General features: G+C 40.2%; 2 protein-coding genes across 6 annotated transcripts in view; both read left to right on the forward strand.

The window, feature by feature from the left end:
• Positions 1 to 21,600, forward strand: part of ZNF559-ZNF177 (ZNF559-ZNF177 readthrough) — a 58,439-nt gene extending 36,839 nt beyond the window's left edge. The window contains exons 2-9 of one of the 3 annotated variants that reach the window (NM_001202425.1): positions 3,845 to 3,931; positions 10,593 to 10,735; positions 15,299 to 15,406; positions 17,242 to 17,327; positions 17,945 to 18,071; positions 18,510 to 18,602; positions 19,040 to 19,122; positions 19,572 to 21,600. In NM_001202425.1, the coding sequence (NP_001189354.1) occupies positions 17,295 to 17,327; positions 17,945 to 18,071; positions 18,510 to 18,602; positions 19,040 to 19,122; positions 19,572 to 19,598 (363 nt within the window). In that variant the 5' untranslated portion in view covers positions 3,845 to 3,931; positions 10,593 to 10,735; positions 15,299 to 15,406; positions 17,242 to 17,294 and the 3' untranslated portion in view covers positions 19,599 to 21,600. The remainder of the gene's footprint in view (positions 1 to 3,844; positions 3,932 to 10,592; positions 10,736 to 15,298; positions 15,407 to 17,241; positions 17,328 to 17,944; positions 18,072 to 18,509; positions 18,603 to 19,039; positions 19,123 to 19,571) is intronic. The other 2 variants (NM_001172650.3, NM_001384659.1) reach the window with 2 other exon arrangements.
• ZNF177 (zinc finger protein 177) lies at positions 1,996 to 21,600 on the forward strand. Of its 3 annotated transcripts, NM_003451.3 has the most exons (9): positions 1,996 to 2,067; positions 3,845 to 3,931; positions 10,593 to 10,735; positions 15,299 to 15,406; positions 17,242 to 17,327; positions 17,945 to 18,071; positions 18,510 to 18,602; positions 19,040 to 19,122; positions 20,131 to 21,600. In NM_003451.3, exons 5-9 carry the CDS (start codon positions 17,295 to 17,297, stop codon positions 20,758 to 20,760), a joined length of 966 nt encoding a protein of 321 aa, NP_003442.2. In that variant the 5' UTR covers positions 1,996 to 2,067; positions 3,845 to 3,931; positions 10,593 to 10,735; positions 15,299 to 15,406; positions 17,242 to 17,294; the 3' UTR covers positions 20,761 to 21,600. The 3 variants fall into 3 exon arrangements, with proteins under 3 accessions (NP_003442.2, NP_001166122.1, NP_001371587.1); NM_001172651.2 differs by lacking the exon at positions 10,593 to 10,735 and having other exon boundaries at positions 19,651 to 21,600; NM_001384658.1 differs by lacking the exon at positions 10,593 to 10,735.
• Positions 21,601 to 23,541: the final 1,941 nt, after the last annotated feature.

A 23,541-nucleotide genomic window follows, 5' to 3' on the forward strand; every position in this document is an offset into this window, starting at 1 on the left:
CCACGTAGGCAAAGGCTATGTCATTAATTCTCAAATGAGATTCGTCCAAGCGGGAAATGCACATCTAGTGCAGTAGTTTTAGGCCAGCCTTTTTCAGAGCCTCAGGCTCTGCCTGTCACCTTGAAGACATCCATGTGGGTCCCCTCAGGGCTTCTCTTTGCCATAAAAATAAAATGATTGCTCCCACCAATGTTTGCGTCCATGGGAGAGGAGGTAGGAGCAGCAGTACTTGTCCTGTGTGTGGGAGACACTTGAAGGGCTCAGTGGGAATTGTCAGCAGCAGGGAACAGAACAGGTGGTGAGAAGAGTCATTCCACTGAGTTTCTGGGCCTTTGACTCCCTGAAACTTCCTTCTCCTCTATCCAACCTCCCTCTCCAGAAAAAAAAAAAAATAATTTAAAAATGGAATCAGTGTAATCAGTGAAGTAGCTGTATTCCAGTGAACAAGCAGCCTGCCCTTGCATCTGCATGCATGCAGCCTTGGCGTTTTCTCTAGAAAAAAGAGAGGTTCTACCTCGTGCATGAATACAGGTGGAGGCCAAGACCAGCATTAACAAAGGCTGTGTGTTTGCCATGGAGCTCAGGAGGGCTAACAGTCATTTTACTTCTGCCTCCGACCATCACACTTTGTCCCCAGAACAAAGCCAAGAGTCCTTGGTCAATGAAAGTGTGTAAATATCCTCACACTTCCCCTAGTAGTTCCTTTTTAGGCTGTAATCATGTGCTAAAGAAAAGAACCTAACTTCTTAAAATCTTTCCCTTTTTGGATGTAGATTGAAATTTTTGTTTTAAACACAATGGCCCTAATGTCTAAATCTAATGTTAGTAATTAATCCCTAGTGCTTTAAGGATCTTCTGTTTATAGGCAGTTATTTTATGGAGCTGGTCTCTGTGAGAGGCACAGACTGCCAGGAGGGGTTGAGATTTCCTTTAACCAGGATTCTTAGTTCTGAATGGCTCTAGTGAATAACATTAACAATGATTCTCTGGCCGGGCACTCACGCCGGTAATCCCAGCACTTTGGGAGGCCTAGACGGGTGGATCACTTGAGGTCAGGAGTTCAAGACCAGCCTGGCCAACATGGTGAAACCCCGTCTCTACTAAAAATACAAAAATTAGCCGGGCATGGTGGCAGCCGCCTGTAATCCCAGCTACTTGGTAGGCTGAGGCAGGAGAATTGCTTGAACCTGGGAGGCGGAGGTTGCACTGAGCCCACAGTGCGCCACTGCACTACAGTCTGGATGACAAGCAAAGCTCAATCTCAAAACAATAATTTTTAAAGTAATGATTATCTTAACCATTCTTAAATCCTTCTGTCTAGTAGGAATCTTATTCATGGGAGTGTCTGGAAAAGGGACAAAGAGCGGCTATTGAGATTTTTTTAAAGCCTGGATTTGGGATGTCTGAACAGTGAATAACTCCAAAGCCATTTAAAAATCATCTTTTTTTCTACCACCGGACTGAGCTTTTCAGTTTTAATTCCAAGGTTCCAATCATATAGATGTGAGTCAAACCCTGTTGGGCCAAACAGGATCTCCTTTGTTGGCGGATAATTTCAAGTGCTCACAGAGACCCTCCGTTTTTTTTTAAATACCTGGACTTAATTGTTTAAACTGGAGTCCGGACCAAAACATCTCTGACCTCGGGGGTCTTCCTTTGGTCAGGAAGAGGGGAGGGAGCAATTGGACCCCTTTCCCTCTGCGGCTGCAGAGTCCAATTTTCCTCTGGGGACATTTGCTTTTTCCCTTGGGGAAGACAGTACGGATTCTAGTTCTGTGGACTCTTTTACTTAGCTTTGAGACCCAAGCAAGTTAATTGGCTTGTGCCTCTTATTTTACTCTAATGCAATGAATAAAGACAGTCCCAGCCTTCGCCCTAAGGGAGCAGGAGCACCTGCGATGCCCCGTTCCCAAGTCCTCAGGGCGAATCCGCCAAATGTGCGAGCTGGGCAGCCCACCCCTTTCAGCTGCTGGCCGGAAGCGGAAGTGGGCGTCCGTCGCCTCGCCATCTCCCATAGCTGTCGCCTGCAGCTGAGAAAGGGTTGCTGTCCCAGCAGGCCAGGTCCAGGTGCGCCCCACTAGTGAGGCCGGCGGAATCGGGAGGGAAGGGGTCAAGGGCACAGTGCGCAGCCCCGGCTGCTCCAGACCTTGCCTGCAGCTTCCCGCCCCAGCCTCCGGCTATCGCGGCGTTTCTTCTCAGAGGCCGCCGGCTTTGGTTCCTCCCGGCACTGCTGGGCTTGGGGCTGCCATTCCGGGCATTGGTTCCCGGGAGGAGGCAAGTGGGTTCATGTGGTCAGAGTGCGTCGGCGGGGCCTTTTCTCCACTTTCTGTACCCTTCTCTTTAAACGTCGTCCCCAGTAGGAGACTATTTTTTCTCAAGAAAATGCTCTCTTGGACCTCACTTTCCGTTGTTAGAAGGCATATCTTGGGATGCGCGTTATTGGTTTGTGGAGATCGTCCCTTTTTTTCCCCTCTGTTATGTGGATGCACCCTAGTGCCTGATACACATTTGAGTTCCTATCTGAGTGGGCTTGTGCATGTTTTTTCGTATTTGTGGACTTAGGTCTTCAAGGTTTATTTTTGAAAGTCAAGTTGTTGGGTCAAAGCATAAATGAATGTGTAATTCCTAGGTATGACCAGATCCCCCTCTATGGGACTTGTGCTTTTTTGAGCCCTCAGGGTGTGTTTTGTATGCAGCAAGCAGCAGACCTTAGTTTTCAGTTTACCTGTAGTTTCTTTTGGATGTTTACATATTGACATATCGTTTATGAATAAGAACTTTATTCTCCCTTTATAATCCTATTACGACCCACTCCTGCCCTACAAATTTACTGCCCTGCCTACGACCTCCGAAACATTAGAAGGAGCAATCCTTGCTGCCTTCCAGGTCTCAGAAAGAAAGCTTTCAGCTTGTCACTACTTACATGTTTGCTATGTGTTTTTGATAGATTAAAGACATTCCCTTCTGTAACAGCTTTATTGACATAAAATCATATATTTCATCTCATTTAAAGTGTATAAATCAGTGGTTTTTAGTATATTGAGTTGTGCAACCATGACTACAATCTAACTCTAGAACATTTTCATTGCCCCAAAAGAGAATCCCATACTCATCAGCAGTTACTCCCCCATGGTTGGCAAGTTTTTGGGCTCTATTCTTGAGTTTTTTTATGTTGTCATACACCAGGTCAGATTGATTTAGGTAAAAACAACACTCTTCATTTAAGAATATACAGATGTTCTCCTTTTCCAGCAGTAAGTCAAGGCCTCGGCGGTTTTGGAGGACAACTGCAGCTAGAGTCAACTTGGGCCTGGAGGACTGATGAAGTTTGTGATATGACTGTGATGCTAGCAGAGAATTCATTAGAGAGACTATGGAAGGTCCTGACAGAGGTTGAAATGCCTGCTATTCCAGTACCGAGAGCAATAGTGGAGGCAGAAAGTCTTAAACTGACAAGGGAATTAGTGGAATAACTCTTTTTGTCGTGTCGGTGTCATGAGGGGAACAGGGAGCTCTTCAGTCCTATTTGCAAATTGCATTTTGAGAGTAAGGAAAACTAGTGTGCATGTGCCTGTCCAATTAGCAGGTAGACACATGTAGGTAGAGGATCCACAGAGGAAAAAGAGACCTTGTGCGAGGCAAAACTGGAGATGCAAAGTAAAAAGATGAGGAGTGCTGAAAGGGGTGTCTTGTACTTAGAATCCTAGGGATCCAGCTAGGGCGGCAGTCGTCAGAGGTTGTAATGGGGACTGATGAGGTAATTGCGTCGAGGGGGAGGTTCGATTTTCATGGTGTATGAGAAAACGTCGAGTATCTACAAGCAACCTTTCACTGTTATTTTCAGGGCTGGGTATAAGTAAGCAAGAAGAGGGCCTGGGAGAAGAGTCTGACGAGCAAGGGGAAGGTAGCCAAGGATGGAGTGAAATACAGGGTAAGTGTCTTCCTAAGCAATAATTACTGCTAATGTTTTTAAGTTTGCCACTACTGATAGAGGGCTTGTCTGTAATATGGAGCTGGAAGGCTCCAATTGTTTCAGTGATGTGTGTAGTTGGGCTTTGGAGATGAAGAGTAAAGGAACATCGAGAAGGTGAAAGTTTACCTAGGGGAATTCCAGTGGGTCTTTGCTGAGAGATACATAAAGGAGCTGCCACAGGAATAGTAGTTTGTGTTGTGAGAGGTCTAAATATGGGGGGAGTAGAGTTGATATAAGGAGGAAGGTTTTAGGTCTTTAAGAACACAGGCTAAGGGAGAAGGGGGAATGGAGGGCAGAAGCTTGCCCATAGTGAAGGAGGCAAGCCCAGAAAAAAGAGAGAGTAGAGACATGGAGAGAAGGGGTGGGGGCTTCTTGTCCTCCAGAAAAGCAGAGAAGGGGTAGAGACACAGAGAGAAGGGACCGGGGGGTTCTTGCACCCCAGAAAAGTGGAGAAGGGCTAGAGATATGGAGAGAAGGGTTCAGGGGTTCTTGACCCCCAGAAAAGCGGAGAAGGGTAGACACATGGAGAGAAGGGGGTCAGGGGGTTCTTGCCCCCAGAAAAGCAGTACTTGCCGCTAAGGGTGAAGGACCAAGGCAGGCATCCCCACGTGGTCAGACACCTCTGAAATGTGGGTGAATAATCAGGCAGGCGTCCCCGCATGATTAAACACCAAGGGAAGACTGTCTTCCCGAGTCCATGACCGGCGCCGGAGTTTTGGGTCCATGGATAAAACACGTCTCCTGTCTACGAGAAAAGGAAAGGAACTGAAATTGAGAGAAGGGAGAGATTGAAGTGTGGCGCCAAGATTGAAATGAGAAAGAGGTTGAGGGATAGTAAGAGAGGTTGGAGAAGAGAGTAAAAAGAGGCCACTTACCTGATTTAAAATTGGATTGATGTTCCTTGGCTGGTCGGTCTGAGGACCTGAGGTCATAGGTGGATCTTTCTCACAGAGCAAAGAGCAGGAGGATAGGGGATTGATCTCCCAAGGGAGGTCCCCAGATCTGAGTCACAGCACCAAATCTACCTCTGTCGCCAGGCTAGAGTGCAGTGGCGCAATCTCGGCTCACTGCAACCTCTGCCTCCCGGGTTCAAGTGATTCTCCTGCCTCAGCCTCCCAAGTAGCTAGGATTACAGGCATGCTCCACCACACCCGGCTAATTTTTGTATTTTTAGTAGAGACGTTCTTTCACCATGTTGGCCAGAGTGGTCTGGATCTCCTGACCTCGTGATGCGCCCACCTTGGCTTCCCAAAGTGCTGGGACTACAGGCGTGAGCCACCGTGCCTAGCCTCATTCCTTTTTTTAATGAGACAAGGTCTTTCTCTGTCACCCAGGCTGGAGTGCCGTGGTGCCCTCGACCTCCCTAGCTCGGCCTTCCACCTTAGCCTCCCGAGTAGGTAGGACCACAGGTGTGGGCCACCAAGCCTGGCTATTTTTTTAAATTTTTGGTAGAGATGAGATCTCACTGTGTTACCAGGCTGGTCTGAACTCCTGGGTTAATGTGATCCACCCACTACAGCCTCCCTAAGTGCTGAGGATTACAGGCATGAGTCACCATGCCTGGCCTTCATTTTCTATTGTCAAATGATAGTCCATTGTATGGATATACCACATTTTCATTTATCCGTTCATCGGTAGATAGACATTTGGGTTGTTTCTCCTTTTTGGCTAATATGAATAATGCTGCTGTGAATATTTCTCTTGGGTATATACCTAGGAGTGGAATGCCTTGTTCATGAGACGAACTTTTATGTTTAATCTTCTGGTAAAATGCTAGGCTGTTTGCCAACGTGGCAGCACCACTTCCCACTTCACTCCCCTCCACAAAAAAACAAGAGAATTTCTCCACATCCTCATCCACACTTGTCTTTTTAATTACACTCACCTTAATGTGTGAAGTGGTATCTTAATGTGGTTTTGATTTGCATTTCCCTGGTGTCTAATGATGTTCAGCATCTTTTCATGTGCAGTTGACCTTTTTATCTTTAGAAAAATGTACATTCAGATCATTTGCCCATCTTTGAATTGTGTTTTCAAAAGTCAGCTGAGGCTGGGCGTGGTGGCTCACGCCTGTAATCCCAGCACTTTGGGAGGCCCAGGCGGGCGGATCATGAGGTCAGCAGATCAAGACCATCCTGGCTAACACGGTGAAACCCCGTCTCTACTAAAAATACAAAAACATAGCTGGGTGTGGTGGCACGCGTCTGTAGTCCCAGCTACTTGGGAGGCTGAGGCAGGAGAATCACCTGAACCTGGCGAGGTTGCAGTGAGCAGAGATCGCACCACTGCACTCCAGCCTGGGAAACAGACCAAGAGTGTCTCAAAAAAAAAATAAAAATAAAAATAAATAAGCTGGCTGAATTAAATTCAGCCCGAAAGTTTTCAGGTTGAAAAAATTTATTTTTGAAATCATTATGTGATACTGGTTTTTATCACTTTGAGTTGATCATACAATTTTTCTTTTGCTCTATTAATGAAGCAAATTATATTGATTTTCTAATAGCAAGCATCTCTTGCATTCCTCTGGTAAACCTAACTTAATTCTGTTGTACTATATTTCCTATTTATTGACATTTTTTGTTTGGACTTATTTTCCTTAGAATATCTGAATCTATGTTGAAATTTGCCTATAATTTTGTTTACTTAAAGTGGCCTTGTCATGTTTGATATCAGTATGCCAATCTCAAAGAATATTCTTCCTTTTATACTCTTAATCACGGTAATCCCTTTGATAAGTTAAACTGTTTTGTGAAATTAGTTTAAAAGTGACCATATTTTTTTCCCTTGTAATATTGTAAACTGCTGTTAATAGAATAACCAAAGGCAAACATGACATTTTGAACCATACACAATTCTGGGGTTTGCATAAAGGCTATATTAAATAAAACCTTCCAGATACCCAGCTCTTGCCTATAGAGTGGATAAGTTATCTATACCTGAAATAATGCAAACATTAGTGACAAATTACATTGAAGTGTAGTTTAAGTAACCAGTCTTCATAAATATGCCTAATCTCTGGAATATTTTCATCCAGACTGGAATTCTTTCTTCTTTGAGTGGCATAACTGACTGATAAAGCCTTTGAGCATGGTGTTTTTTGGTGAAAACCTAAATAATCTAGTTTTGTTTTCTGTTTTAAAAGAATATCTGGGCAGTGAGTTAAGCTGGGAAGACCTAGCACCTTGCTGACGGGATCAGTCTAGATTCTTCTTTTATATTTTTTAAATTGTGGTAAAATACCTAAAGCCAAATTTGCCATTTTAATCATTTTTAAATGTACAAGTCAGTGGCATTCATTGCATTCACAGTGTTACTCAACCATCACCAGCTAGTTCTTTTTATTGTAATTTCTACACAGTTTTGGTAAGTTGTATTTCTGTAGGAATCAATTTATTTCCTGAAAGTTTTGAATTTGATTAAAGTTATTCATGTCTTGTTAATCTCTGCAACATTTGTAGTTGTGTTTTTCTCCTTTTGTCTTTGAAGAATTTTGCCCGATTTTTTTCCTAGTAGTTTTCAAAGAACCAGTTTGTAGCTTGAGTGATACTGTTGTTTTCTAGTTCATCATCGTATTTTCTGCTCTTCCCGTTCCAGCTGCTTAAGTTAATTTTTAAGTTCACTTCTTTTCTAATATAAACATATAAAGCTTATTTTTTTCCTAAGGACCAGTTTAGCTACATTCTACAAGTTGTGGTACTTAGAACTAATCAATAACCATAGTATTATGTATTTTCTAATTCAATTCTTTTATAAAAGCATAAGTTATTTGGAAGTGTGATGTTTTCTGAATTCCAAATGTGTTACTTTTTTCTGTTTGCTTGAAAAATATGAAACCACTAATATTCAACCATATTTTAAAACTACCAAAACACCCATTTCATATAGTTCAATGTAATCTCGTTATTAACTTACAACTTAGTTACATTGTAATTAAGACATGTCAGAGAACATGTTTGTATACCAAATCTTTTTCTAAGTTTTAATTTTTGTGGGCACATAGTAGGTATATATATTTAAGGGGCCCATGAGATGTTTTATATACCAAATTTGGAAGGTTTAAGACTGGCTTTACAGTATATTCACCATACAGTATGGTCAGTTTTTATAAACACTTCATGTGTGCTTCAAGAATCTATGTATACTCCATACATTCAGTAGTGTCCCTCAGTGTGCTAGATTAAGCATACTCATTGTGTTGTTCAAATCTTCATATCCTTTTTTTCATATGATCTTTCTATTGCTGAGCAGTGTTTGAAAGTCTTATAGTGATGATTTGTGTTATTTATCCTTTAATTGTGCTAGCTTCTGCTTTATAAGTTTTATGAGACTAGAATTTTATATCTTCCTAATTGGTACTTTACATCCTCATGTCATTACCTCTAATAGTGCCTTTTGTCTCAAAATCTATGAAATTAATTTAGCAAACAAACTTTATTTTGGTTAATATTCACCTGGTATATCTTTCTTATTTTTGAGACTCAATTTTTATGTGTTGTTGTGGATTTTAGTGCATCTAATGAAATAACATAGAGCTAGTTTATCTTAATCTACCAGGACAGTCTGTTTTTAAACTGCAGAATTTAGCCCATCTGTACACTTACTGTTATTGATACAGTCAGACATTTTTTACCATCTTACATTTTACATTGTGCTTTTCATTTGACCTATTTTTTTTGTTTCATTTCCCTTATTTTTCTTACCTTTGGAATTGAGATTTTTTTTTAACCTAATTCCATTTTCTCTTCTAGACTGTGAGTTAAACTCACTATGTCCATCCTTTGAATTGTTACCCTAGCTATTTTATCATGCATACTTACAGTCTAAACCTAATCAATATTGTGAGTCCCCAGTGGAAGAATACAAGGAACATACTACTCAATCACCTCCTTCCCAATTTATATATTATTTAGTATTAGGATTGAGCTTATTTTTCCATGTCACGAATTTGGTATTATTACCATTTTATATAATAAAGGTTTGCTTAATTTTATCCATTTTACCTTTGTTCATTCTACTTAACATTTTGGGTCTTCCAGTTCCTATCTCCTGAAGTACTTTTAAGTTACTTCTGTGATGGTCTTTTTGGATGGGTAAGTTGTCTCAGGTCTTTATTTTAAAATGCCTTTATTTGACTCTCCATTTATTTTTCTTAAGCTTTTAATCATGAAAATTTTTAATTCTCCACAAAAGTAGAATAGTACAGTTGTCTCTCATATCCATGGGGGACTGGTTCCAGGACCCCCACATGGCTTCCAAATTCCACAGTCACAAATTCCTTATATAAAATAGCATTGTATTTGCATAGAACCTACACACATCCTCCCATAGATGCTATTTTTTCCCTCCCATTTACTTTAAGTCATCACTAGATTACTTACAGTACCTAGTACAATAAGTGTTATGTAAGTGGTTGGTTTGTTTTTTTTTTGTTTTTTTTTTAAGAGATGGGGTCTCATTCTGTTGCTCAGGCTGGAGTACAGTGGTGTGATCATAGCTCACTGCAGCCTGAAACTCCTGGACTCAAGTAATCCTCCCACCTCAGCCTCCCTAGTAGCTGGGACCACAGGCATGCGCCACCACGCCTGGATAATTTAAAATAGATACATATTTTTGTAGAGACAGGGTGCTGCTTTATTGCCCAGGCTAGTCTCAAACTCCTGGCTTCAAGGCATCCTCCTGCCCCAGCTTTCCAAAGTGCTGGGATTACTGGTGTGAGCCACTGTGCCGGGCCATAAATAGTTATGCTGTATTGTTTAAGGAATAATGACAAGGGGGAAGGTCTACATGTTCAGTACAGACACAAGCATTCATCTTTTTTCCACATATTTTTGATCTGTGGTCGAGTAGCCAACAGATACAGAGGGCTGACTGTATAATGAATTCTCATGTCCTTAACACCCAGCTTTGACAGTTACCAATATTTTGCACATCTTGCATCATCTAGCGCTGAGCTGTCCAATACAGTAGCCACTAGCCTCATGTGGCTATTGAAGTTTAAATGCTCATTTCAAGTATTCAGTAGCTATCCGTACATGATTAGTGGTTACTGTATTAGATACTGCAAATAAATATTGAATAATGCTGGGTTTTCCCCCCAGATTTGTTTTTAAAGCAAATTCCAGACATCCTGTCATTTCATCAGTATATTACTAACTGTGCATCTCTAGTTGGTTCATCACCACTACTCCATTATCCCACCTAACAAAGTCTGACGTTCCCTGATTGGCTACAGAATATCTTTTTACATTTGGTTTGTTCAAATGAGAATCTTAACAGGGTCCCAACATTTTTTTTTTATTTTAGACCCCTTAAGTTTCTATTGTGTCTGTTCTCTTCCTCCTCCCTTTTCATTTTTTTAATCCACTGATTTATTGAAGAAATAAAGTTATTTGTTCTTAAAATGTCCCACATCATATATGGATTTTGCTGACTGGTTTGTTTTCATTGCTTAACCTGGTTATCTTTGTATTTCTTATAAAGAGTAGTTAGATAGTTTGTCTAGCGTTTTAGGTTGATAAGTTATTTTTTTCTCAGCATACTGAAGACATTGTCCTGCTTTCTTCTGACGTCCATTGTTGCTGTTGAGATGTCAGCTATCAGTCTGTTTTTCCTTTTATAGGTGACCTGTGTTTTTCCCCTGGCTGCTTTGGAAATTATGGGAAAAAATCAAATACCAAGGAAGAAAAATCTATAATGAAATTAGATGTGGATTTCTTTTTATGTATTCAGCTTGGGGGCTTATGATACTTCTAGTACCCAAAGGTTAGTGTCTTTCACTAATTCAAGAAAATTGCTAGGTTTTCATCTAATAGTGCGATCAAAGTTCTGATCTGGTAGTTAATACTGGCACTGAATTTCTCATTTCAGTGAGTTTATTTTTCATTTCTAAAAATTGTTTTTTAAACTAACCATTTTATAGTATCTTAATCTATATCCATTCAAATTTTTATTAAGCTTTTATATATTTTAAAATATATCTAAAAGGGTAATATCCAAAGTGTTATGCTTTTTACCACCTGACACCTGTGTGTTAGCTATGTCTTACACATGGTACATTGTGTATTTGTGTTTCACAATTTCTTAAACTGTGCCTTCCTCAATTTACTTAGAACTTTGTATATAAGATTTTTTCTCAAGACCTGACTTAAAGTTGATTTTCCAGAGATAGGTCGATTTGCTTGCACTAGTTGCTTGGGGACAATGCCACTTAGGACCCTCTTTAAGTGAAATTATTCCCTTGAGGTTGTTTGAACTACAGAAATGAATTTGGACTGAAATCTAAAAGAGAGCACTTGTGTATACAGATCCTCAAGAGAGATTTGCTTTTTATTATACCTGATGGGTACAGTTCCTTGCTTCACGCTTTCATATGGAAATTTTACTTTCTTTTTAAAAAACTGTTCACTGTGGATTTTCAGTCATACCTAGGAATAGAGTGCTATAAAGCCACTATGTACCTACCACCCAGCTTCAATGATTGTCACCATTTTGCCATTCTTATTACATCTGTTCTCTCCCTTGCTTCCTTTCATCATTGAGCTTTCTTTTCCTTTTTTTTTTTTTTTTTTTTTTTTGAGATGGAGTCTTGCTCTGTCTCCCAGGCTGAGGTGCAGTGGCATGACCTCAGCTCACTGCAACTTCTGCCTCCCAGGTTCAAGCAATTCTCCTGCCTCCCCTCCCGAGTAGCTGGGATTACAGGCACCTGCCACCACACCTGGCTAATTTTTGTATTTTTAATAGAGAAAGGGTTTCACCATGTTGTTCAGGCTGGTCTTGAACCTCCTGACCTCAAGCAATCCACCCACCTTGGCCTCCCAAAGTGCTGAGATGACAGGCGTGAGCCACCACACCCTGCCAGTTTTGTTTTTCTGAAGCATGGTTTTCCAGCTTTCTTGAGGTATAATTGACAAATAATAAAAATTATATATGTTTAAGGTGTACAACATAATGTTTTGATCTACCTGTCCATTCTGAAATGATCATCACAGTCAAGCTAATTAACATATCCATCCCCTCACTTACTTTTGTAAGATGCACTCTCTTGGAAAATTTCAAATATACAGTACATCATTAACTATAGTCACCAAGCCATACATCAGGTCTCCAAAACTCAGCCATCTTATAACAGCAAATACATACCCATTGACCAACATCTCCCCATTTCCCTTGCCCCTTGGTAATCACCTTTCTAATGCTTCTAGGAGTTTGACTTTTCTAGATTCCATGTAAGTGAGGTCATGCGGTATTTGTCTATGTCCGCCTTATTTTACTTAGCATGATGTTCTCCAGGTTTCCTTCTTTTTTAAGACTGAATAACCCACTGTGTGTATATATATGACATTTTCTTTACGCATTCAGCAATCGACAAACACGTTGTTTCCATATAGCAGCTATTATAAATAATGCTGCAATGAATATGAGGTCACAGATACCTCTTTAAGATATTGATTTCACTTCCTTTGGTTATATACCCAGTAGCAGGATTGCTAGATCATATGGTAGTTCTATTTTTAATATTTTGAGGCACCTCCACTACTGCTTTCCATAATGGCTGTACCAATTTTCACTTCTAACAACGATGTATAAGGGTTCCCTTTCTCCACATCCAACACTTGTTATCCTTTGACTTTTTGATAATATCTATTATAACAAGTGTGAGGTAGCAGCCAACTATGGTTTTGATTGGTACGTCCCTAATAATGTGATGTTGGGCACTTTTTCATATACCTACTGGCCATTTTTATTTCTTCTTTGGAAAACTGTCTATTTAGATCCTTTACCCATTTTTTATTCCATTTTTTTCTATCGAACTGTATGTATTTCGTAAATATTTTAAATATTGTGCAGATTCTTTCTCCCATTCCATAAGGTTGCTTTTTCATTTTGTTCATTATTTCCTTTGCTGTGCAGAAACTTTTTAGTTTGATGTAGTTTCACTTATTTTTGCCTTTCTTGCCTGTGCTTTTGGTGTCAACTCTTTAAAAAAAAAATTTGTCAAAATTAATATCAAAGAGCTTTTCCCCTGTTCTAGAAGTTTTATGATCTCAGGTCTTACATTTAAGTCTTTAATCCATTTTGAGTTGATTTTTGTTTGTAGTTTAAGGATCTAATTTCACTTTTTCACATGTGGATATCTAGTTTTCCTTACACCATTTGCCGAAGAGACTGTCCTCTCCCCATTGCTTATTCTTGGCATCTTTGTCCAAGATTAGTTGACCATACATGCCAGGGTTTATTTCTGGGCTTCCTATTCTGTTACATTTGTCTCCGTTTTTATGCCAGTACCATACTATTTTCATTACAGTACCTTTGTAATATATTTGAAATAAGGAAGTGTGATGCCTCCAGTATTGTTCAAGATTGCTTTAGCTATTTGGAGTTTTTGTGTTTCCATATGAATTTTAGGATTGTTTTTTCTATTTCTGTAAAAAATATCATTGGAATTTCATAGGAATTGCATTAATTTGTAGATCACCTTTCATAGTGTGACATTTGACAATATTGATTCTTCCAATCCATGAACACTGGGTGGCTTCCCATTTGTTTGTGTCTTCTACTTTCACCAGTGTTTTAGAATTTTCAGTGTTGAGATCATCTCCTTGGTTAAATTTATTGTCAGTATTTTACTCTTTTTGATATTATTATAAGTGAAATTATTTTCATAGTTTTTTTTAGATAGTTTGTTAGAAATACATTTAATTTTTGTATGTTGATTTTTTTTTACCCTGCATTACTGAATTTACATGTTAGTTTTAACATTTTTTCATGGTGTCTTTAGGGTTTTCTAGATACAATATCATGTCATCTACAAACATAATTTTACTTCTTTTCCAACGTAGACGCCTTTTGTTTTCTTGCGTAATTGTTCTGGCTAGAACTTCAGTTGTATGTTGAATAGAAGTGGTGAGGATGGGCATCTTTGCCTTGTTCCCAATCTTAGAGGAAAAGCTTTCAATTTTTTATAATTGGCTGTAAGCTGTGGTTTTGTCACCTATGGCCTTTACTGGTGTTGAAGTACTTTCCTTCTGTAACTAATTCGTTGAGGGTTTTTATCACAGAAGAATGCTGAATTTTACCAAGTGCTTTTTCTTCATCTATTCTAATGATGATATAGTTTTTATCCTTCATTCTGTTGATGTGATGTATCACATTGATTTTGCGTATCTTGAACTATCCTTGAATTTCTGGGATAAATCTCACTTGATCATGGTGTATGGTCCTTTTAAGGTACTGTTGAATTTGGTTTGCTAGTATTTTATTGAGGAGTTTTGCATCTATTTTCAGTAGGGATATTGGCTTGTAGTTTTTTGCTCTTACAGTGTTTGTCTGGCTTTGGTATCAGTGTAATGCTGACCTCATAAAATGAGTTTAATGAGGAGTTTGGTTGGGCTCCTTTTCCATTTTTTTGGAAGAGTTTGAGAAGGATTCTTTAAATGTTTGGTAGAATTCAACGGTGAAGCCACCAAGTCCTGGGCTTTTCTTTGATGGAAGATTTTTCCTCACTGATTTAATCTCCTTACTCATTATTGATCTTGTCAGGTTTTCTATTTATGATTCAGTCTTAGCAGGTTATATATTTCTAGGAATTTATTCATTTCTTCTAGGTTATCCAATTTTTTGGCATATAATTTTTCATTATGGTCTCATGATCCTTTATATTTCTGTGGTTATCAGTTGTAATGCCTTCTCTTTCATTTCTAGTTTTACTTCAGTCTTGTCTATTTTAATCTTAAGTAGTCTGGCTAAAGGTTTTTGTTGGTTTATCTTTTCATACAACCAACATTCAGTTTCATCGATCTTTTCTATTGTCTTCCTAGTCTCTCATTTATTTCTGCTGCGATCTTTATTATTATTTCCTTCCTTGTACTGACTTTGGGCTTAGTTTCTTTTTCCTTCTACTGACTTTGGGCTTAGCTGCTGCTTTTTCTAGTAACTTGAGGTGTAACATTAAGCTGGTATAAGATCTTTCCTACTCACCCTTGCTCTCTTTGGTTTCCATTTACGTGGAATGTCTTTTCCCATCTTTTTACTTTCGGGCTACATGCATTCTTAAAGCTATAGTGAGCTTCTTGTAGGCAGCATATACCTTAGGTCTTTCTTTTTTAATCCAGTCAGCCACTATGTGTTTTGACTAGAGAACTTAATCCATTTACTTTTTTGTTTAAGGAGATAGGGTCTCTGTCACCCAGGCTGGAGTGCAGTGGCATGATCATACTCCCACTACTCTCAGATTCAAGCAATCCTCCCACCCTAGCCCACCAAGTAGCTGGGACTACTGGCAGATGCCACCACACCCAAATAATTTTTTTAAATTGTTTTCTGTAGAGATGCGGTCTTGCTGTGTTGCCTAGGCTGGTCTCAAACTCCTGCTCTCAAGTGATCCTCCTGCCTCAGCCTCCTGAGTACATTTATATTTAAAGTAATTATTGATGGGTAAGTACTTACTGTTGCCTTTTTGTTCATTCTTCTGTGGCTGTTGTACAGATGTTTTGTTGCTTTCTTCCTCCCTTGTCTTCCTTTGTGATTTGATGACTTTCTGTAGTGATACGCTTTGATTTCTTTCTCTTTTCTCCATAATATAGGTTCTTGCTTTGTGGCTACTATGAAGCTTAAAACATCCTGTAGTTTTAATAGTCTGTTTTAAGCTGTTAACAGCTTAGCTTTGATTGCATACAAACAATTTATACTCTTCCATTTCCCACATTTTATGTTTTTGATGTCACAATTTACATCTTTCTATATTGTATATTAACAAATTATTATAACTTTTTAATATTTTTATCTTTTAATCTTTTACACTAGAGATAAGTTATTTAGATACCACTGTTACAGTATTAGGGTAATCTGGATTGAGTATATAATTACCTTTACCCCAGTGGGTTTTATAATTTCATATGGTTTCATGTTACTAAGTGTCCTTTCTTTTAAGCTGAAGAATTTACTATTTCCTATAAATCAGCTCCATTACTGATGAAGCCCCTCATCTTTTGTTTGTCCAAGGAAGTTTTTATCTCTCCTTCATTTCTGAAGGCCATTTTTGGCAGGTAAAACATTCTTGGTTGGCAGTACAGTCATGCACTGTGTAAAGACATTTTGGTCAGTGATGGTCCACATATGTGACAGTGCTCTCATAACATTTTAATAGTGCTAAAAAATTCCAATCACCTAATGACATAGCCAGTGTAACATTGTAAAGCACATTACTCACATGTCTGTCATTTAAACCTGCTGCACTGCCAGTCATGTAACAGTAGTAAATATGGTTATGTACAGTAGATTATATACAGTACATAATAATGAATAGTAATAAGTGACCACATTACTGGTTTATATATTTTTATACTATTTATTGTTATTTTAGAATGTATTCCTTCTACTTACTAAAAAAGAAAAGTTAACTCAAAAACAAGCCTCAAGCAGATGCTTCAGAAGACATTCTAGAAGTCATTGTCACCATAGGAGATGTCAGCTCCGTGCATGTTATTGCCCCTGAATACCTTAAGTGGGACACGGTAGAAGGTGTCAGACAGTGATACTCAAGATCCTAACCCTATTTAGGCCTAGATTAATGCGTATGTGTCTTCGTTTACAACAAAAAAGTTTAAAAAGTAAAATCGGGCAGGCAAAAAGGGCCTGGAAGGTAGGCTACTGAGTTAAGAAGACAGAGTCCTAGCTCTGCTATAAGATTTGCAGCACTAGATTTTGATACATATACAGCTAAGTGTACTAAATGTTGTTCTGGAATGTCACCCTTTTATTATGAAATGCAAATATGCTCACCTTTATGGTCCTTATGAGTTACTCCTTATTGTTCTAAGTAATTTCGGGATATTAACTCAGCCCAACCCTATGAAATTGGTCCCATTCTAACAATGAGGAACGTGAGGGTGTGATATAAGATATTCCAAACTCATCTTGAAGATTTCTTAGTCTATACTAGACTCAGCTATTTCTCCAGTGAGTCCTGGTTTCTGTCACGGGTAAATGATATTCAGAGACAGTTTTGCACTTTAGAGGCTCATTCCTCCTGAGCTGTTAGCAGTCATAAGCCTTTTTAGTGGTTCAGGCTAGAAAAAAGTCCAAGAAAAAATGAAAAATGCATACTATATTTCTAATTTGAGGATATACTGTGTTCTTGGATAAGGAGGCAAATTGTAACTACACTCTATGTGTATGTTGTTACCCTTTAGTAAGAAGAAGCTTCCCAGCCTGCTAGTGTTGAACATCTAGCAGGCCTAGACTCTAATGGCTTCTGTGTTCTCCTCTAGCTCTGCCTGCTTAGGACTCTGCCCAGCCAGGAAGGAAACCTACAGGAGGAAGAATGGCTGCAGGGTGGCTGACAACCTGGTCACAGGTACACAAGAAATTTCTCTATTTCCAAAAGCACACTGCCATTCCTGAAAAGAACACATCTCTTGCCCCTGACCTGAAGCTTCACAGCCCAATCTGAGCTGGCTTCATCTTCCGCAGCTCCCAGGCTGCTTCATGTGGAAGAGGGAATCCCTGGGAAAGGCTTCTGTTCCCACATTTGTTAACTTTCTCCAGATATTCTTCCATATTTTTGAGTATGAATTCCATACTGTAGTGAGTGCTGTAAAGAAAGACTTTTACTAGGAAAATTATTTATCATTTCTCAAGTATTTCTTGCATTCCTACAGTATGCCCTGTCTATACTGGATCTGAATAAGACGAAAAGAGTCCTCACAACCTAACTGTGCAAAGATCAAGCCAACCATATTTTAGAAAAGCTGTTTTGACCATGACCCTGAATGAGATGGCCCAGGGAGTAGGATTTAAAGAGAGTTCTGAGAACTCAGCTTTAAGGCAAATTAAGAGAAGGCCTCTGATGCATGTCTGAGCTTCCAGTGCCCTGAGTCTCCTCTCCAGTCCTGTCAGCCTCACCCACCATTCTCCTGGTACATTGTCAAAAATGGTCATTGGCTGAGCCAGAATATGTATGTGATGTTTTAGAACTCAGTAACCTTCCAGGAAGTGGCAGTGGACTTTTCCCAGGAGGAGTGGGCATTGCTGGACCCTGCTCAAAAAAATCTATACAAAGATGTGATGCTGGAGAACTTTAGGAACCTGGCCTCAGTAGGTAAGGCTGGCCTCATTTCTTCATTTGTTTATGTAGCAAATAGTTCTTAAGCACATATTATGTTCCAGAATCTGTGGAAAGAATAGCAATACAGTGGTTAACCCCAAAATGAATGGTCCCTGCCCTTGAGGGGGCAGTCCAGTGGCTTCCCATGAAAATGCACTGATTTCATTTTCTCTATCACTAATAGCTTAAGGTAATTTGCAATCTGTGTCTCATCTTGTGTATAGGTTTCAAGGGTCACTTCCATATAGGGCGTGGACCATGCTTTTTGGTTCTTGTGAAAGAAAGAGCTCGGCTCTGATTGTTTTGTTGTTCCTAAAGCTGCACTTGACTATTTTAATAATCCTTTAGTTAAAGCCAAAGTATGGCAATCAGTTTTGTGGAATATTTAATTCTCACACATTTCTCCCACATCCTTGCTTTCTGCGTGAGCAGGGTATCAGCTCTGCAGACACAGTCTGATCTCCAAGGTGGATCAAGAACAGCTGAAGACAGATGAAAGAGGAATTTTACAAGGTGACTGTGCAGGTGAGCCTTGGGCAGAACAGGGTGCAGCCTTGGCCAGTGAGGGTTAGTACATTTGGGAATGTCACTCAGTGAAGGAAAAGAAATCTGAGGCCATGACATGAGCTTCCTTCCTGTTTCACCATCTATTCAATCGTTCATACGTTCATTTGGTCTCCGAGAAAGAAGTTTTAATTCCTCTTTAAATGTAATGTCTCCATGAATGCTTTTTGCCAGATAATACTGTCTTATTTCCCAACCTCCACAATCCTTTCTAACTAAAATACCTCCCATTTCTACTGCTTGTTCCTATCACTGGTGAATCACTGGTTGTGTCTTCTTTCTTACATTTCTCTACTTAGAAGATATTATTTGAAAACAAATCCATAGGGTCTCCCTCCCTTTTTCTTTGATCCCAACCTTTTCTCCCAATAATTATAAAAATTCCTGTGCTATTTCAGACTGGGAAACTCAACTTAAACCAAAAGATACAATTGCTATGCAGAACATTCCTGGGGGAAAAACATCCAATGGCATAAACACGGTAAGACTTACTAGGAAGTATTCCTGGTCTTTGTAGTAGAAGTCTGGGAATCTGAATGAGTTAAAACATCAGCACCCAAAGCAGGGGTAAGAATTCAGGCACCAGGCTTTCACCAGAAAGCTGTCTCGGGAGAGTTTGGAGTTTGATTTTCATGAAATTGGAGAAATCTGTAAACCTAGGTTAACACTTGCTGGCTCACAGAGAATAACCACAAGTAAACATCTATGTAAATATGATTTTAGAGTTAAGTATTTAGTACATAATTCATTCATTCTTCACTCAGTATTAGAAAAACTGTATTAAAGAAGCCCTTTGCTGGGAAGGAATAGAGCCTTGGACAGAGGAGTGAGCTTATTCAACTCGAAAAAGCTAATAGGGCAAAAGTCATACGCACCTACTGAAAATGGTACACATGTCAGTCATGATCATGTGCTTCCTATATATGGCAGAATCCTCATGGAAGAGAATTCCTGTGAATAAGGTGAAAGTGAAAAAGCCTCTAGTCACCACTTACTCCCTTTTCAACAGGCAGAAAATCAACCTGGTGAGCACTCCCTGGAGTGTAACCATTGTGGGAAATTCAGAAAGAACACTCGCTTTATTTGTACAAGATATTGCAAGGGAGAGAAATGCTATAAATATATAAAGTATAGCAAAGTCTTCAACCATCCCTCAACTCTTAGGAGTCATGTGAGCATTCACATTGGAGAGAAAACTCTTGAATTTACTGATTGTAGAAAAGCTTTCAATCAAGAGTCATCCCTCAGGAAACACTTAAGAACTCCCACAGGACAGAAGTTTCAGGAGTATGAGCAATGTGATATGTCCTTCAGCCTACACTCTTCCTGCTCAGTACGTGAGCAAATACCTACTGGAGAGAAAGGTGATGAATGCAGTGACTATGGCAAAATATCTCCCCTTAGTGTCCACACAAAAACTGGTAGTGTGGAGGAGGGTTTGGAATGTAATGAACATGAGAAAACTTTCACTGACCCTTTGTCCCTTCAGAACTGTGTCAGAACTCACTCTGGAGAGATGCCCTATGAATGCAGTGACTGTGGGAAAGCCTTCATTTTTCAGTCTTCCCTTAAGAAACACATGAGATCTCATACTGGAGAGAAGCCTTATGAGTGTGATCACTGTGGAAAATCCTTTAGCCAGAGCTCTCATCTGAATGTGCACAAAAGAACTCACACTGGAGAGAAACCCTATGACTGTAAGGAATGTGGGAAGGCTTTCACTGTTCCTTCATCCCTTCAGAAACATGTGAGAACCCACACTGGAGAGAAACCCTATGAATGCAGTGACTGTGGAAAAGCCTTCATCGATCAGTCATCCCTTAAGAAACACACACGCTCTCACACTGGAGAGAAGCCTTATGAGTGTAACCAGTGTGGAAAGTCCTTCAGCACAGGCTCTTACCTTATTGTGCACAAGAGAACTCACACTGGTGAGAAAACCTATGAGTGTAAAGAATGTGGGAAGGCCTTTAGGAATTCCTCTTGCCTGAGGGTACACGTGAGAACTCACACTGGAGAGAAGCCTTATAAATGTATTCAGTGTGAAAAAGCCTTTAGCACAAGCACTAACCTTATAATGCACAAGCGAATCCACAATGGCCAGAAACTCCATGAATGAAATGACTCAGGGAAGTGTTTGTTGCCCCTCATGCCTCCTTTCTCACTTTAGAACATATATTGGAGAGAAGCCCTGTTATGGTCACCTGGAAACAGCCTTCTGGCCCAACTCTGGATGCCTGTTATACTGGGACAAACCTTATAAATGTTATAGCTATGATTGTTTTTATCAGTGAGTATTTCATTCTTATATGTGTCACAACTGTAGATCCTATGAATATTTTAGTTATCTTTTCAGTTTAATTGCATTGTGAACAGAACACATGGTCTTCAATATGTAGATTCTGTGTGACATAGATTTGAACATAATTGCTGGACACTGACTGATGTACTGTGGCAGACAGAACTAGTTGCTGTCTCAATATCCATTCCTCCCTTCTTTCTTAAAGTAATAAAATTTACCATTTAGTTCAAGCTGGCAATGTGGACAGTTTTCACCCAGCTTCCCTTACAGCTGTGAGCGGCCAAATATGTTCACATCCCTAGCCCATGCAAAGTAGGCAGAAGTCACTGGATACAGCTGCTAAGGAAGCTCATGGAAATGGGAATATCTCATCTGGTGTTTTTTTCTTAACTATTTGCCCTTTGTCTTGTCCCTTATTTCCTAGAAAATATATACACCAAGAGGAGGACAGAGAAAGGATACTAAATGAAACAACAGGGGAGATACAATATTATCTGGTTGCACTAATCCTGTGCTGCTTATCTCTGGATTTCATGTTACATGAGAAAAATTAACTGCCATGTGGTTTAAACCACTCTTGTGGGAAGTTCCTCTTTCAGCTGATTTCAGTCCCAACTGTTACATCTAATAAATGGTCAAGTTTTAGGAATCGTTCAAGTATGGTTGAAAAATTGTGTTTTCTGAGGCAGAAGGATCACTTAAGTCTAGGAGCTTGAAATCAGCTGAGGCAACACAGTGAGACCCCATCTCTACCAAAAAAGGAATAATTAGGTCTTGCTGTGTTGCCCAGGCTGGAGTGCAGTGGTGTGATCTCAGCTCAGTGCAACCTCCGCCTTCTGAGTTCAAGTGATTCTCGTGTCTCATCCTCCCAAGTAGCTGGGATTACAGGCAAATGCCACCACGCCTAGCTACTTTTTTGTATTTTTAGTAGAGGTGGGGTTTCGCCATGTTGGCCAGGCTGGTTTTGAACTCCTGATCTCAAGTGATCTGCCTGTGTTGGCCTCCCAGAGTGCTAGGATTACAAGTGTGAGTCACCGCCCCCAGCCAAATTGTTTTCTTTAAAAATCTCTCTCTCTAGGCCAGGTGCAGTGGTGCATGTCTGGGAGCCCAAGGCGGGCAGATCACTTGAGCTTACCAGTTCAAGACCAAGCCCAGCCAATGAGCCGAAACTCCATCTCTACAAAAAACAAAACAAAAAAAAGTTAGCCAGGTATGGTATTGTGTACCTGTAAGTCCCAGCTACTCAGTAGGCTGAGGTGAGAGGATCACCTGAGCCCAGGAGGCAGAGGTAGCAGTGAGCCGAGGTCATGCCACTGCATTCCTGCCCGGGCCACAGCAAGACCGTGTCTCAGGGAAAAAAAAAAAAAAAAAACTCTCCTTTTTTGGGGGGCACTGTAATTGGGTACATTTAAGTTTACTCATTTTATGTTTCTGGCAAATTGTGCTATTAGTGCCCATACTTTTCCCCTAATAACTAATGTTCATTAATTTACTACAAATGTGAGCTACTGACCTAGAAATACCATTTTCTCAACCTGTAAGGACAACCAGGAGCAACTTACTTTTTCTCAGCGTTACATCAGTTATACTGTTGCTTGCAATAACATCCAGCAGGTATGGTCATCTTTACATCCCACAACTTGTCCTCTCTATTGATGCCTTTATGAGTTCTTTCGTAAGACAGACGTGAATGTTTGTTGGGGAATACACCCAAACATTCAGGCTAACCACCTGAAGTTTCTAGGGGTTCAGTTGTCTGGCGCTTGTCAAGATATTCCCTCTAAGGTGAAAGGAGAATTGCTGCAATTTGTACTACTAATCACAAACAGCACAATGCTTGGTCGGTTTTTTTGGTTTCTGGAGGCACCATATTGACGCAATATGACAACACTTGGAGAATTTAGAAAAATAACACGTTCTCGGCCAGACGCGGTGGCTCACGCCTGTAATTCCAGCACTTTGGGAGGCCAAGGCGGGCGGATCACCTGAGGTTGGGAGTTCGAGACCAGCCTGGCCAACATGGAGAAACCCCATCTCTACCAAAAATACAAAATTAGCTGGGCATGGTGGTACATGCCTGTAACCCCACCTACTTGGGAGGCTGAGGCAGGAGAATCGCTTGAACCCGGGAGGCAGAGGTTGCAGTGAGCCGAGATTGGACCGTTGCACTCCAGCCTGGGCAACAAGAGCGAAACTCCATTTCAAAAAAACAAAAAACAAAAACATTCTGGCAGTATATGAGGGCAGGATAACAAACTCAGACAAGGACAGAATGAAGCCTGAAAACCTTCAAAAATAATTTATGAAATAGAAGGAAACTGGGTTTTTTTTTTTTTTCGTTTTTTTTTTTGAGATGCAGTCTCGCTCTGTTGCCAGGCTGGAGTGCAGTGGCGCAATCTCAGCTCATTGCAAACCTTCGCCTCCTGGGTTCAAGTGATTCTCCTGCCTCAGCCTCCGGAGTAGCTGGGACTACAGGCAAGGGCCACCACACCCAGCTAGTTAGAGATGGGGTTTCACCATGTTGTCCAGGATGGTCTGGATCTCTTGACCTCGTGATCTGCCCACCTCAGCCTCCCAGAGTGCTGGGATTACAGGTGT

The sequence above is a fragment of the Homo sapiens genome, chromosome 19, assembly GCF_000001405.40.
Source record: "Homo sapiens chromosome 19, GRCh38.p14 Primary Assembly".
Taxonomy (NCBI): domain Eukaryota; kingdom Metazoa; phylum Chordata; class Mammalia; order Primates; family Hominidae; genus Homo; species Homo sapiens.